Source organism: Homo sapiens, chromosome 19, assembly GCF_000001405.40.
Source record: "Homo sapiens chromosome 19, GRCh38.p14 Primary Assembly".
Classification (NCBI taxonomy): domain Eukaryota; kingdom Metazoa; phylum Chordata; class Mammalia; order Primates; family Hominidae; genus Homo; species Homo sapiens.
Window position 1 is genome coordinate 54,593,050 of NC_000019.10, and position 16,549 is coordinate 54,609,598.

The following is a 16,549-nucleotide window of genomic DNA, read 5'->3' on the forward strand; positions in this document are numbered from 1 at the left end:
AATGCCTCATGTACATTTCTCCATTAGGGTCAGATGTGAGATCCAGAGTGGACACATCAATCATCTACACAGACTGGGGGGTCCAACATCGAGATCCTTTCACATCCCAAACAGTTCAGGTCTTACCCTGGTCTGGAAATCAAGCACAAATGAGCCCCTCCGAATGTCCCAGGCACCACTGACCCAACAACCACTGTGACCAGTGGGATTCATGACAACAATCTGCAAAGGAGGAAACTGAGGCTCAGTGATGGGACATTACAAACCAAGGTCATGTAGGCAGCGGATGATAACCAGTCATCAAATAAATATCAACTCCCTCCCCCACTCCCCAAATCAAAGCTCAAACATAAGTCATTGTTCTCAAAACGTTGAACAGGGATTGAGGTGCAGAGGGATGGCCAAGTAAGCAAAGGGCACCGAGGAGGCAGGAAAGTCTCAGATGTTTGTTCCCAGCGGGTGGGAGTGGACACTGTAGCAAAATATTTTAAAAAGGGGAAGTTGAGAGGGGACTATTTGGTTGAAAGAAAACCCACAATCCAGTGTCAAGAAAGAAGTCAACTTTTCTTCCCCTATTTCCCTGCATTTCTCCTCTGTGCTCACTGCCACACGCAGCTCAACCTGAGCTACACAGCCAGATGCGAGATGCTTCTCTGCTGATCTGAGTCTGCCTGCAGCATGGACCTTGGTCTTCCCTGAAGCATCTCCAGGGCTGGAGGGACGACTGCCATGGTAAGGACCCCACAACGCTGAGCTGATGGATGGCTGAAGGAGGGAGGGTGACCATGTGGGAGGCTGTGAGAAGGAAAGGGAAGCCTCCGTTACCCTCATCTGGAAGGGCAGACGCAGAAAGCACCAGTTCTATTTGCTGCTACATCCCGTCTCTCAGTGAGAAGAGGAGAAACCAGACAGACAGTGGCTGGGGGTCAGGAAAGACCCCATTACAGTCTGAAATGTCTGCAGAGGGCCTGGTTCCTGCCCCCACCTCAGCTCTAAAAGAATGAGAGTCAGGCTCCTGGTAGGGTAGTTCTGCTTCCTGTGTGGCTGCAGATGACAACACCCCATGAGAAGGACCCAGCCTCCGAGTGTCCACACTGGGTGGGAAGGAGGGGAGGCTATTTCTCTCTGTGTGTCTCTGTCCTGCCAGCACCGAGGGCTCATCCATCCGCAGAGCAGGGCAGTGGGAGGAGACGCTATGACCCCCATCGTCACAGTCCTGATCTGTCTCAGTGAGATTTGAAGAGGGAGGGGAGCTTCTAACCTAGGAGGGACCTCACCCCACAGCCGACCTCTAGTCCCTAAGGAGACCCCAGGGGCTCACAAAGATCCCAGGGAGGGGAGGACCTGCCCAGGCTTCAGGGGCAAATTCCTCACAGGGAACTCTCTTCCAGGGCTGAGTCTGGGCCCCCGGACCCACGTGCAGGCAGGTGAGTCTGTCCCCAGCTCTCCCAGGTCCCTCCTCCTCACTGGGGACAAGGGGCCACCCCCGTGCAGCTGGGGATGGGGAATAGCAGTTCTGGACTGACTGATGGGGGCATCTGGAGGGTCCTGGGCTGAGAGCTGAGATATGTTGGGTGGGAAATGACTTAGAATCTGAACTCTGATTTCCTTCCAGGGACCCTCCCCAAGCCCACACTCTGGGCTGAGCCAGGCTCTGTGATCACCCAGGGGAGTCCCGTGACCCTCTGGTGTCAGGGGATCCTGGAGACCCAGGAGTACCGTCTGTATAGAGAAAAGAAAACAGCACCCTGGATTACACGGATCCCACAGGAGATTGTGAAGAAGGGCCAGTTCCCCATCCCATCCATCACCTGGGAACACACAGGGCGGTATCGCTGTTTCTACGGTAGCCACACTGCAGGCTGGTCAGAGCCCAGTGACCCCCTGGAGCTGGTGGTGACAGGTGAGCTGACACTGAGGGCTCCCAGCCCCAGGCTCTGCCCTCAGGAAGGGAGTCAGTTCTCAGGGGCATCTCCCTCTCACAGCCCAGCCCTGGGGATGAAGTGGGAGGTGTGAGCCCCATTTAACATGGTGCCTCCTTCTCTCCTAGGAGCCTACATCAAACCCACCCTCTCAGCTCTACCCAGCCCTGTGGTGACCTCAGGAGGGAACGTGACCCTCCATTGTGTCTCACAGGTGGCATTTGGCAGCTTCATTCTGTGTAAGGAAGGAGAAGATGAACACCCACAATGCCTGAACTCACAGCCCCGTACCCATGGGTGGTCCCGGGCCATCTTCTCTGTGGGCCCCGTGAGCCCGAGTCGCAGGTGGTCGTACAGGTGCTATGCTTATGACTCGAACTCTCCCCATGTGTGGTCTCTACCCAGTGATCTCCTGGAGCTCCTGGTCCTAGGTGAGAAATTCACAGCATTGCCTGGAGTTCCCTGAGTCTCCCTGAGTCTCCAGGCAGGTGGGGAGCAGCCACGTCTCAGGGCAGCTCCAGGTGGGATGATGTTGGGGCGAGAGGGCTCAGGGCTCCTGGGGCCGGAGACACAGGAAGATCAGCAGTGGTGAGGCCCCGGGGGAGAGGGAGGATATGTGGGGAAGCCTGAGGGTCGGCTCCTGGAAACCATGAGCACCTTTTCCCAGGTGTTTCTAAGAAGCCATCACTCTCAGTGCAGCCAGGTCCTATAGTGGCCCCTGGGGAGAGCCTGACCCTCCAGTGTGTTTCTGATGTCAGCTACGACAGATTTGTTCTGTATAAGGAGGGAGAACGTGACTTCCTCCAGCTCCCTGGCCCACAGCCCCAGGCTGGGCTCTCCCAGGCCAACTTCACCCTGGGCCCTGTGAGCCGCTCCTACGGGGGCCAGTACAGATGCTCCGGTGCATACAACCTCTCCTCCGAGTGGTCGGCCCCCAGCGACCCCCTGGACATCCTGATCGCAGGTGAGGAGCCCAGCGGGTTCAGTCAGGGACACAGGCTCCGCACAGGCCCTGCCAGGGGAGCCCAGGTGGTGATGGCCGGAATGAGGGGTGGGGGTCCCAAGGGAGGGAGAGACAGACAGAGACAGGGGATGGGCGGGGCGGGGAAGACTCAGAGAAAACAGAGATAGAGACTGAGGGTCCCAGATAGAAGCCTGGGGAGGCGTCAGCTCAGAACAAGGTGGGGCAGCCTCTCACCCATCCTTCTTCTCTCCAGGACAGTTCCGTGGCAGACCCTTCATCTCGGTGCATCCGGGCCCCACGGTGGCCTCAGGAGAGAACGTGACCCTGCTGTGTCAGTCATGGGGGCCGTTCCACACTTTCCTTCTGACCAAGGCGGGAGCAGCTGATGCCCCCCTCCGTCTCAGATCAATACACGAATATCCTAAGTACCAGGCTGAATTCCCTATGAGTCCTGTGACCTCAGCCCACTCGGGGACCTACAGGTGCTACGGCTCACTCAGCTCCAACCCCTACCTGCTGTCTCACCCCAGTGACTCCCTGGAGCTCATGGTCTCAGGTGAGGGCCCTGACCCTGTCCTCTCCGAGCTCAAAGGATCAGCTCAGGCCCTGCCCCCCAGGAGAGCTCTGGACACTAAGAAAAGAGGGGAGTTGGCTGGGCACGGTGGCTTACACCTGTAATCCCAGCACTTTGGGAGGCCCAGGCGGGTGGATCAGGAGGCCAGGAGATCGAGACCATCCTGGCTAACACAGTGAACCCCGTCTCCACTAAAAAATAGAAAAAATTAGCCAAGCGTGGTGGCAGGTGTCTGTAGTCCCAGGTACTCGGGAGGCTGAGGCAGGAGAATGGCATGAACCTGGGAGGCGGAGCTTGCCGTGAGCTGATGTCATGCCACTGCACTCAATCCTGGGCAAGACAGCGAGACTCCATCTCAAAAAAAAAGGAAAAGAAAAGAGTGGAGTGAAGGGGGAAGGTCTGCGGGGGAGGGTCGAGCCCATGGGAGGGTGGAAATAGACGGGGCCTCCCACCCCTGGCTCCCACCCTTGTAGTCTCAGTAGGGTAAAGAGCAGGGAAGGCTGGGAGGAGATGGGGGTGAACCTCAGAGGAGATGAGAGTAGACTGAGGGTGAAAGACAGAGGCCCCACCTGCTCCCCTCCTGATGTCTCCACCTCAGAATCAGAGCCTCTGGGGATCCCAACCTCTAAGTCCTGACCCCATGGGTGACAAAAACCCAGTCACTCCCAGCTCTAAAGAAGTTTCTAGACTCATCTCAATGCTACCTCTAATATTCAGGGTCTGATTTCCAGGGCAGCAGAGGGGAGGGTGGACAGTAAGGGTGTGGTCTGCATGGCTTCCTGGTGCTCCAGGGATGGGGCAGGTGTTCCCTCCGTGGTGTTCAGAGGGGAGAGAGGTGTCTGAGGTTCAGCATTGATGAGTGGAGCAGCGGGGTCTTTCCCCCTCCCCGAGCAGGATTCCAGGAGACATCACCTCTGGTTGAGACTCTCCACTGTCTCATGTACATAACAAAATCTCTCCAATTTTCTACTGAAAGCAACACGTGGCACAGCTCTGCAGGACCCCACACCCCGACCTTGTCCTGCAGGATGTGTGACGAGTAGAAGAGGGAGAACAGGTCGGGTCAGCAGGATTTGGGGTCCAGCCTGACTTGGACACGTGGAAGATGCTGGGGCTGATGGAGGAGGAACAGAGGCGGGCGAGTTGGAAAGAGGACAGACAGACGGTCCCTTGGCAGCTCTCATTTCTCATTTCCAAGGGCCCCTGAGGATGAACCCCTCACCCACACCTGTAGGGTCCCTGGGCCATCTCAAGACAAGAGAGGAGGCCTTGGTGGGATCTGACTGTGATGAGGGTGAAGTCCACCCCGAGCAGAAATGAGTGATACACAACACGTGCTGTGAATAATTCCCTAACTTGCCAGGGAGCAAGTGCACGGCCCCTCCTTAGTCTCAGGGGTGCCCTGAGCCCAAGCCCACCAGGTGAGCACAGGAGGGGCCGTGTGAGCGGCACCCACAGCTGGAGTGCTTCTCTCTAAAGGAGCACGTTTTGGGTGGACTCAACCCTCACCACAGTCAGATCCCACCAAGGCTCTGTGCTCAGGGCACCCGGAGACTAAGGAGGGACCGTGCACCTGCTCCCTGGATGAGTTAGGGAATGATTCACAGCACGTCTCATATGTCATTCATTTCTACACTGTATTTTCTGTACGTATGCTTTCTATATGTATGCTCTCTCCTTTACTAAAACTTTTAAAGCAATACTTCAATATATAAATTTATATTTTTTATTTCAATTATATGAACCTATTATTTAAAAACATTTAATTTTACTTTGCCTTTCATTGGGGCTTGATTTAATTTATATATTCAATGTAGACATCCATTTTTCATTAACCTCAAGTCTTCCTCCTGTACATATTAAAAATCGAGGTTTCCTTAACGAACTTCAGAAATGTTTGGATGTTTCCAAGCACAATGGCCCGAGCGAAACTGACTGGGCGGCTCCCTGTGGCATGAGAAACCCGGGGGAGGTCAGCGGGAGCTACAGTGCAGCTCAGCCCTGGGCCTGGGGGGTTCATGCCCAACCTTGTCCAATCACTGGATAATTCTAACATCTAAATAAACGTCTTTTATATGAAAAAAGTGCTTTAAATTGTTAATTTAGATTTAAATTAGAACAGGGCAATTTGGTAGTGGGTTAATATGAAATACAATGAATATACCCAAACCAGTGGCTTTCTCATGAGTACTTATCTCTCGTTTTAAAAAATGTAAAGGAATCAAATACTTCACTTATAAATTGTTAAAGGTGTTGAATAATTCTTTAAATTAGAACGAATATAATTAAAAAAAATTTTTTTTGAGATGGAGTTTTGCTCTTGTTGCCCAGTCTGGAGTGCAGTGGTGAAATCTTGGCTCACTGCAACCTCCGTCTTCCAGTTTCAAGCAATTCTCCTGCCTCAGCCTCCCGAGTAGCTGGGATTACAGGCGCCCGCCACCATGCCCCGCTAATTTTTGTATTTTTAGTAGAGACAGGGTTTCACCATGTTGGCTAGGCTGGTCTTGAACTCCTGACCTCATGATCTGCCCACGTCAGCCTCCCAAAATGCTGGGATTACAGGCATGAGCCACTGTGCCTGGCCTGAATATAATTTTTTAAATGTCTACCCAGGACACCCACCTCTCCTTGACAGGGAGGTTATATAAGTTATACATAATCTTATATAGAATTTGTTATATAAGTTACCTCTGAATATGTCTCTTCTCCTCTGTTTTGATTCTCAGGAGCAGCTGAGACCCTCAGCCCACCACAAAACAAGTCCGATTCCAAGGCTGGTGAGTGAGGAGATGCTTGCCGTGATGACGCTGGGCACAGAGGGTCAGGTCCTGTCAAGGGGAGCTGGGTGTCCTGGGTGGACATTTTAAAAAATTACATTCATTCTAATTTAAAGAATTCTTCAACACCTTTAATGATTTATAAGTGAAGTATTTCATTCCTTTACATTTTTAAAATAAGAGATAACTATCCATGAGAAAGCTACTGCTTTGAGTATATTCATTGTATTTCATGCTAACTCACTACTAAATTGCTCTGTTCTAACTGCTTTTCAATGGATCTCCTCTAATTTACTAATACAATTTGTATAAACCGTAAGACAATGGGAAATTTTACTTCTTTATTTCTAAATTATGTGCCAATATTTCTCACTTTAAATGTCAATATATATGTTACTACATCTTAAATAAATATCTGAAGTTTTACATATATACATATTTATGTGTGGTTAAGTAAGATACTTTTGAATATGTGTGTAAGTATATCCAAATTCATTTGATGTATATTCATGCATATGCTTAATATATTTGATGCGGTAGGTGTTTACATGTTTGTTCCTGGTCTAGATTCACCTAGATTCACACTTCATAAAAACAAATACTGATTTATGAACCTTGAGTGACATCTCCATTTAGCATATATATATATATGTTTGTATGTGTGTGTGAATGTGGGAAACTGTATTGCATTCTAGGTGTTACTGCCTATATGAGGAATTAGTTAACTAGAGATTAAATGGAAGATGAAACCCCAGGTGAACTGGCTGAGGCTGTGTGAAGAAGAAGCACCCCCAGACTTTCACCCCTTTGTGCTTCTGACACTGGGGAGCCCCTGCAGACCAACCTCCCATGCATGGAGCCTGGGTCCTCCGCTGGTGGATAAGTGAAACTCTCATCTCTGGGGGAATTGGCTCATGTGCTCCTGTGTCCCTGGCTGCACAGACAGCGCACAGGGCTCAGTGACTTCTGTATTCCTTTGCAGATCCTGAGCTCCCAGAGTGCAGGAAAACGCCCTCCCCAAATGCCTCAGGAGTAACATTCGAATTTCTAGAATGCAAGAAATCTGAAATAATTCAATAAGGACACTGGAGGGAACCCTGCTACACAGGAAGGGTTTATTGAGGAACTCCCTAGAACTCATGTCAGAAGACATAGGGGAAGATAAGAATGCAGAGCCCAGGGGAGAGGCTGGCTCAGGGCTCTTCCCCTCTGTTTTTATTCTCAGGAGCAGCTAACACCCTCAGCCCATCACAAAACAAGACTGGTGAGTGAGGAGATGCTCTCGTTTACGGTGCTGGGCACAAGGGTTGGGTCCTGTCAAGGGTAAGGAGGTGCTCTGGGTGGACATCCAGAGGTCCTGGGTGAAGTTGATCTGCCCTGACCTCTGTGACCTCTTTGCCCACCATCCCCAGCCTCACACCCCCAGGATTACACAGTGGAGAATCTCATCCGCATGGGCATAGCTGGCTTGGTCCTGGTGGTCCTCGGGATTCTGCTATTTGAGGCTCAGCACAGCCAGAGAAGCCTCTGAGATGCAGCCGGGAGGTGAACAGCAGAGAGAAGAATGTACCCTTCAGAGTGGTGGAGCCTTGGGAACAGATCTGATGATGCCAGGAGGTTCCGGGAGACAATTTAGGGCTGATGCTATCTGGACTGTCTGCCAATCATTTTTAGAGGGAGGAATCAGTGTTGGATTGCAGAGACATTTTCTGGAGTGATCCATGAAGGACCATTAACCTGTGATACCTTTCCTCTCTATTAATGTTGACTTCCCTTGGTTGGATCCTCTTCTTTCCCCACCCCCAGACAGACATGAGGCTACATCCCACATGGCAGCGTTGGGTCCACACCTCTGCACATCTGTGTGCTCTGGTCCATGGTGTGTAACACAGTCTTCTTTATTACTCATTGCCATACTCCCTGGTGTGCTTTACTGAGCCTCCATCTCTTCAATTCAGAGTTCCAAACGTGCTTCAGTAACTAAATCAATGGGAGAGTATCGGATTTCAACCAGGAAAAGATAAATCCACCCTGATGCCCTGACACCCTCTCTGAACCCTACGAGCCCTTCCCTCCTTCTCACATGCTACCTGTGCAGCTTCTCCTTAGATCATTGTGTAACCATCACTGCCATCCTGTTCCACACATGGTCATCACCCTACACCCATTCAGCAGCCACTCCCCATTCCCTCTTCCCTCCAGCACCTGCTAACCACAAATGTGCTTTCTGTCTCTACGGATTTGCCTATTCTGTCTGAAAACATTTCAATCTCCTTTGACCTGTGAGCTCCTCACTTCGAGACTTCCTGCCTTTCCAGGCAGAACCAAAGTACACCACGTCAAAAGCAATGATAGGCATTTGCAGTGTGTTGGTGATCCACGAAAGGAAAATCACGGAAGCAGGATAGAAATCCAGCTGCAGACAAGACCTCAGGTCGATGAATCTTGACAAGCAGTTGAGCTGTTTTTTTCTACTCACCTAGGACAGTCAGGCAGAAGTATGCAAAATGACTGGGGCTGATTCTTTTCTGAATTGTCGCAAACAGCAAGAGGACTTGAGTCCTAGCATTAAAGAGTTCAACATGTCTAGGTCCAAGACCACTGTTGTGTTTGAAGGATGTAAAACCCTGCTGCATAGGATGGAATATTTGGAGGGAGGATCCTGAAAAACATGAGGGATCAAATAGTCCTCAACTTTCTAGGACAAAGGGAGCAGCTATTTGCCATCTACCCTCCAGAATAAAGAAATCTTATCATTCACCATCTACCCTCTAGAATAAAGAAATCTTATCATTCGCCATCTACCCTGTAGAATAAAGAAATCTTATCATTCACCGTCTACCCTCTAGAGTAAACAAATCTTATCATTCACCATCTACCCTCTAGAATAAAGAAATCTTATCATTCGCCATCTACCCTCTAGAATAAAGAAATCTTATCATTCACCGTCTACCCTCTAGAGTAAACAAATCTTATCATTCGCCATCTACCCTCTAGAATAGAGAAATCTTATCATTCATCATCTACCCTCCAGAATAAAGAAATGTTATCATTTGCCATCTACCCTCTAGAATAAAGAAATCTTATTAAGGACATTTTCAAAGCCTTAACAGAATATGAATGATTACAATATTATGTTTTACCTATACAGCATCTTCCAAGTTCTAGTTTGGTTGTGCCAGGCCAAACATTTGAGCCAGATTTCGGCAAGATCAAGCAGGAGACTCTGGCGTCTGTCGCTGATTACCTTCCCGCCATACCTGGCCACCAGCCTTTCCCATGGACCCCACGTGTGTCTCCAGACTCTTGGGTATGAATCCTGTGAACACACTGACCTCTGCTTTCTACATGACTGACAAGCACTATGAAATTTGCATAAATATGAATAGAAAATATACTGTCCCCACATCCCCTAAAATAAAACTGAGTCCTCACCCATGGGCTTTTGCTGGATTATACTAAGAAAAGGCAGGTCTTACAACACACATTCCATAGACTCACATCTCAGAGAAGATTCCTTCCACAGGCTCAGGGTCCTGAACACACTGCTCCACTCTCAGGGCTCGGAGACACTCTGCAGGTGGGTCTTCACCCCATCCGGGAGCCCTAATTCCTTCTTCCTCGGTTTTTCATACAGTGATTTTTCCCAGTACTGCTGTCTACTTTCCTCTGCCAGAAATTCCTTGCTGGATCCATGGCAATCTCCTCAGGACTCCTATTTCATAAAATGGAAATGGAATTCTTCATATGCCTTAAAAAGTAAAATAATTATCCAAACAATATAAAATACAAACACCCATCTAGCAAAATATTTCTTAGTACATCATGAATTCAAATATATATCGTACAAAATGACTGAGGATTTTATTAATTTTGAGCAATATTGAGGTTTTCTCATAATATCTTTTTATTGTTAACTTCAAACTAAATAACAATCATGTCTGGGAATAAAATGTATAAGATAGTCATTTAGAAAAATTTGGAGATTTTTCCTTCCTTGTCCAGTAAATACTTAACATTTTACGTGCAATGTATGTCATAAATATGGGCATTCCCCCCTTTGAGGTATGTGTTCATTAATATACACACATATATATACTCACACACACATATATACTGTACAGTGGCATCTACACATACTATATATCCACATATAATGTATTTGTATGCAATATGTAAATATATACACACATAACACCTAGAGTAAGTGTATGTATACAATATATCAGAATATATATGTGAATTCTTTTTCCATACAAACTGTGTAACATTTCTTTACACATCTACACACATATATACCGTGTGTGTATACATATAGTGCTTATGTACATAATAGGTAAATATATACACAAATTAACATATATATGTATACATACATAGAATTTGTTTTTCTATATACAAACCCTATAACATATGTAACTAGAGAGTTTTACCATATGTATGTAATTCAGATTGAACATTAAGTTGTATACTCATTCATTTTTTTTCTTAACCTCTCAGTTCTTGATAAATATTTCTTTGAATCACCAAATATATACAAATTTATGTTGTATATATTTCAATAACCCATGGTTAGATGAATGAAAGTTTACAATTATTTTATCATTTTTTATACCGTCTCTCTCTCTTTTTTTTTTTTTTAACACAGATGAGTCTCACTATGTTGCCCAGGCTGGTCTTGAACTCCTGGGCTCAAGTGATCTTCCCACCTCAGTCTCCCAAAGTGCTGGGTTACAGGTGTGAGCCACCGTACCCAGCACTTAATACCTTCATTAAAACATAAAACTTCACTATTTTCAAAAAAGTTTTGTATTATGTTACATTTTGTGGACTATTAATGTTTCTAATAGATAATTTTAACAGCATGTCTTTCTTCCCTTACTGATTTTAAATTATGATTTTATATTAGATGATACTATTGTGTCTCATGCCTAATGTGTTATTGGGGGTGTTGGGCTATTTAACTCATCCTGAGTAGGGGAATCACTCTTTAACATACGGGGTAAAAAATGAATAATTTAGAATAATTTCATGAATTTAGTTAAGTATTCGATTATATATTTTTGAATGAAGATTCATTTATCCTTGTCCTTTAGAAAAGACATGTACTCTTATATGTGTGTGTAGTTACATTCGTGTGTGTGCGTGCATGCAATTTTCAAATACTTGCCTGTTTCCCACTTTTCATCACCGGCATCTCACATCCTACATTTTGGATTCATTGATCTATCTGGATAACATCATTTAAAATTGCTTTCACTGAGTATGAAAACAGTAATATCTAGTAACTTGCAGCTCAGATAATGCTTTATTTTTCCTCCCACTTTCTCTATCAAAATAGATGAAAACATTTCTATATTAATTAAAGGGTAAGATATAACACCTGGAAGAGAAAGCACATCTGATGATTGAGGGATCCACCCTCCAATCCCTCCTCAGCCCTCATGCAGGGGAAGCCCAACCTAATGGGCTTCACAGGTCTGTCTTGCTCTGAGCCTTTTTCTGCTTAGGAATTGGTCCCCTGCTGACCCCTTTAACTTTTAGGTATTAACCTGAGTAAGCATAGAGTTCCTCACTTGCTGTTAATCCCTTGAGAGTACATTTTCAACATTTCCTTGCCTTTCATTTTTCTGTTGGGAAGTCCGATCCCAGTGATCATGCTATTCTACTGACATGTTGAGTTGAAAATCACAGGACACAAAAATGTGTTTTAAACTATACAATTTATGCTAGACAATTTCAGTCTAGCATATATACTTTTTAATCTACTTCTGGTATTTTTCAATTTATCATGGTAGGTCAAGGTTTACATTGCATGTTTAAATGTATGCATCTTAGCACTTAATTAGTCTTTCCTCGTCTCTGTCAAATGTTCAACTCTTTAATTCGTGAGCTGTTGCCAGACATTATTCTCCCTTCTTTCCTTCTGACACGTACAATAGATATGAGGTTCTCCCTCCTCACAATATTCCCCCAAATATGGTGAATTTTCACTTTTGGTGTCTCCATAGTGCATTCTGGAAAATTCTCCCAATTTTGTTTTCCAATTTAATAAATGTCTCTTTAGCTGTATCTTGACCTTGATAGAATAAATATTTTGAGTGTGCTTCTTCAACTGAATTTTTGCCTCTAGGATTTCTAACTCATTTCTCTGATGCTCATTTTTTGCCAGTATAATCCATATTCTTGTCTCAGAAATTTAATTTCCTCTTGTATTTTTTTCAGATATTTAAACATGTTTAATTGAAAAAGGGTCTTATGCGTTCCTAGTATTCTATTTCTTTGCACATAATAATCCTTATCAACAAATGTGTAGACTGATGATCATAGCACTTTTTATCATTAGAAGGATGGCTCTTGGTTGTCTATTTTTGTTGGACACTCACCTCCTACACTCCTGAGCTACCATGGAGGGATCCTCTCAAGGCAGTTTTTAGTAATCCAGGACTGAAAATGGGGGACTGTTCCAGCTACTGATGACACGTGGCATTCATTTCCCAAACATAGTGTCTGCTCAGGTTGCTCCCAGAAGGAAAAAAATGCATGTGAAATTCACACTCATGGCCGGGCACGGTGGCTTATGCTTGTAATCTCAGCACTTTGGGAGGTCGAAGTGGGCAGACCACTTGAGGCCAGGAGTTCAAGACCAGCCTGGCCAACATGACAAAACCCCGTCTCTACTAAAAATGCAAAAAAATTAGCCAGGCCTGGTAGTGGGCACCTGTAATCACAGCTACTCAGAAGGCTGAAGCAGGAGAATCACTTGGTCATGAGAATCAGGCAGGAGAATCACTTGGGAGGTGGAGGTTACAGTGAGTGGAGATCATGCCACTGCACTCTAGCCTGGGCAACAAGAGCAAAACTCCATCTCAAAAAAAAAAAAAAAACTCATACCCACACATGATACAGATACCCACATGTAAGAACTCTGCAGTGAATGAATTTGTTTCACACACACCCAGGGGAGTTGGCTCAGTGGTGGCCATGGGCCTGGGTCGGTAAATAGACATATTCCATCACAGCTTTCAGCCTTGCCCAGAGCCCTGGCCCTTCTCTGCCTGTGAGGACCCAGGGCCCCTTTTCTGTTCTGCACAGAAATGGAAACTTCCTCCCTAATGACCCCTAATGGCACCAGACACAGATGCCCTCTCTGTTTCGTGTGTATCCTTCTCCTTCTGATGAACTTTCATTTCTCATTTTCTGGACATGACTGTGATAACCGGGGTGTTGATGAAATATTATGAGAAGCATCTCTCAAGGGCAGGAACAAAGGGGCTCTCCTTAGTGGAAACATCAATCTCAGGCCTTGATGGTGGGCGCCAGCATCCCCTCATGCCCCCACCCCTCCTGTCTTCACCTGCTCTGGAAATTACCCATGGCTGAGCCCCCTGCAGCCCCCAGGCTCCAATGACCCAGCTCCCCTGTGATAAATGGGGTTCATGACAGGCTCCAAATGAGGAAACCAAGGCTCAGAGATGGGAGGTTACTGCCCAAGTTCACACAGGCAGGGGGTGACACAAGAATATTTAAATAAAGACAAGATTTCCCCTCAAAGCAGAGTGCTAACCCCACGTATTGTCCCAGAACCTTGAACTCAGGAGCACAGGATGGGAACAGGAGTGTTTGAAAGAAGACGGGGGCACCAAGAAGGCAGAGTCAGGTCAATGTTGTTTCCAGGGAGACGGGGGCGGATGCTGTTGCGATGAGTCAATGAGAAGTTCGTGAAGGGAACGTTTTTGCATAAAGAAAACCCACACTCCAGTTCTGGGGAAAGAGTCATGATTCCTTCCCTTGTCTCCCTGTATTTCCCCTTTCTGTTCATTGCCGCAATAAAGCTCAACTGGAACTGCAGAGCAAGATGTGAGATGAGTCTCTGCTGATGTGAGTCTGCCCCGCAGCCTGAATTTGCATCTTCCCTGAAGCTTCCCCAGGACTGGTGAGAAGACTGGCCATGGTAGTTTCCCCACAAGAGTGTGTTTATGGGTGAGCTGAAGGAGAGAGTGAAACCCCATGAGGAGGCTCTGAGAGGAAGGAAGAACCCTCCGTTGCCTTCACCTGGAAGGGATCAACTCAGGAAGGCACCACGTCCATTTGCAGCCACGTCCTGGCCCTTAATGAGAAGAGGACAGGACAGGCAGACAGTGAAAGGAGATGAGGAGAGACCCCATGTGTGTCTGAAATATCAACAGAAAGCCTGGTACCTGTCTCAGGCCAAGCACTAGGAAAACAAGAGCCAGGCTCGTGGCGGGGTCCGGGACAGTACACTACCCATGGAGATGCTGGTGGGAAAATCCTGTAAGGGAGAGAACCCTTCCTTTGTGTGTGTTCTGTGGACACCATGGTCTTATCCACCCACACAGCCGGGGCCAGTAGGAGGAAACATCATGACTCTCACCCACACGGCCATGGTCCACTTCACTGAGATTTGACAAGGGGAATGGGAGATTCTAGCATGAGAGGGACCCTGCCCCACAGGTAGGCCCTGGTCCAGTAGGAGACCCCAGGGGATTAGGGAAGATCTCAGGAAGGAGAGGACCTGCCCAGGCTTCAGGGGCAAATCTCTCAGCGGGAACTCTCTTCCAGGGCTGAGTCTGGGCCTCAGGACCTGCGTGCAGGCAGGTGAGTCTGTCCCCAGCTGTCCCAGGTCCCTCCTCCTCACCGGGGACAGGGTCCCACCCCCGGGCAGCTGGGGCTGGAGAACAGCAACTCTGGGCTGACTGAGAGGGATCATGGGGGGATCTTGGGCTGAAAGCTGGGATCTGAGGGGTGGTAAATGATATAGGACCCAGTTTCTGATTTCCTTCCAGGGACCCTCCCCAAACCCACGTTCAGGGCTGAACCAGACTCTGTAATAACCTAGGGGAGGCCCGTGGCCCTCTGGTGTCAGGAGACCCTAGAGGCTCAGGAGTGTGGTCTGGATAAAGAGGAAAGCCCAGTGTTCAGGAGCACACAGAGCTCGCCGAAGCCCAGGACAGCGTGAGTCCTCCGTCTCACTCAGGACAAAGCACCATGCAGGGGAATATTGCTGTGAGTATTTCAGTCCTGCTGGCAGGTGAGCACTCAGAGACCCCCTGCAGCTGGTGGTAACAGTGAGGGGACACTCAGGGGCCCCAGCCCCAGGCTCTGCCCTCAGGAAGGAGGTTTGCTCTTCGGGGCATCTTGCCTCTCAGAGCCCAGGCCTGGGGGATGATGTGGGAGGTGTGAGCCCCATTTAACACGGTGCCTCCTTCTCTCCTAGAATTCCACTAATAAAGGTCCTATTTGACAGTTCCAATATTGGAAATAAGAGTTCCATCTTCGGCCAGGCACAGTGGCTCACACCTGTAGTCCCAGTACTTTGGGAGGCCGAGGCAGGCAGATCACTTGAGGTCAGAAGTTCAAAAGCAGCCTGGCCAACATGACAATAACCCGTCTCTACTGAAAATACAAAAATTAACCTGGCGTGTGGTGTGCGCCTGTAATTCCAGCTACTGGGGAGGGTTCGCTTGAACCCACTTAGCACCTGGAAAGCGAGAGCACGGACTAGGCTGACCCAGCCCGCACCTGCCTCTGCCCATACCCCCACCCTGGTAGGTTAACACAAAGGACAAAGACTTTCGGGAGCTCAATGGCCTCGCCCTTTGCCTGAGACACCGGACAGCCTCCCTTGCGTAACATAAGGAAGGCAAAAAGCCCATGAAGACCAACACAGCAAAATTCATAATTGCAAAGATGTGGAGCGCTTTTGCAACCGCTGCCTCCGGGCTGGAGGCCGACTGACACCGTGCAGGACAGCATCCGCAGGCTCAATAACACAGCACCCAGGAAGGAGAACACGTGTGCATGTCCTCAGCTATCACCATTGCCAGCAACCCCCTGGATAACCAAGAGGTCCTGAGTCTGTTCACATGGCCGGTTCATTACCAAAGCTGGTGTTTGAGAAAGCCAAAACCCCAAGGCTATTTATAACCGAGGAAATCTCACATAGTGTATCTCACTCCTGCAAACTTCACCAGCCCGCCCCACTCCCTCGCCCCACCTCAGTGTCCCCGAGCCACTTTGCTTGCACTCGCTCGCCCACAGCCACTGCCGCCAGGGCTTTGCCAGCATTATGTGCTCCTGAGCAGACCTTCTCTCCCCTCCCCAACGGCATGTGTGTTGCACGTGCACCTCGCAGTGCCACAGCTGCCGGTGTGAGTTCACCCACTCACCCAACGACCCCCGAGCACTGGGACTGCTGTCAGAGCATTCGTGGGTACAGAGATTCCCTGTCCAGTACCCATCTGTCCTCCACCCTCCCGGCGCCAACACTACCACCGGTGTGATCACACAC

At 48.1% G+C, this 16,549-nt stretch overlaps 1 protein-coding gene across 6 annotated transcripts; it reads left to right on the top strand.

The window, feature by feature from the left end:
• Positions 1 to 582: 582 nt before the first annotated feature.
• On the top strand, positions 583 to 9,332 carry LILRA1 (leukocyte immunoglobulin like receptor A1). Of its 6 annotated transcripts, NM_006863.4 has the most exons (10): positions 583 to 732; positions 1,148 to 1,229; positions 1,392 to 1,427; positions 1,616 to 1,903; positions 2,051 to 2,353; positions 2,590 to 2,886; positions 3,140 to 3,442; positions 6,187 to 6,237; positions 7,463 to 7,501; positions 7,650 to 9,332. In NM_006863.4, the coding sequence occupies exons 2-10, from the start codon at positions 1,196 to 1,198 to the stop codon at positions 7,766 to 7,768; spliced, it is 1,470 nt and encodes a 489-aa protein (NP_006854.1). In that variant the 5' UTR covers positions 583 to 732; positions 1,148 to 1,195; the 3' UTR covers positions 7,769 to 9,332. The 6 variants fall into 6 exon arrangements, 3 of the variants coding, with proteins under 3 accessions (NP_006854.1, NP_001265247.1, NP_001265248.1); NR_103501.2 differs by lacking the exon at positions 1,148 to 1,229 and having other exon boundaries at positions 2,706 to 2,886; NM_001278318.2 differs by lacking the exons at positions 2,590 to 2,886; positions 3,140 to 3,442.
• The last annotated feature ends 7,217 nt before the right edge of the window (positions 9,333 to 16,549 follow it).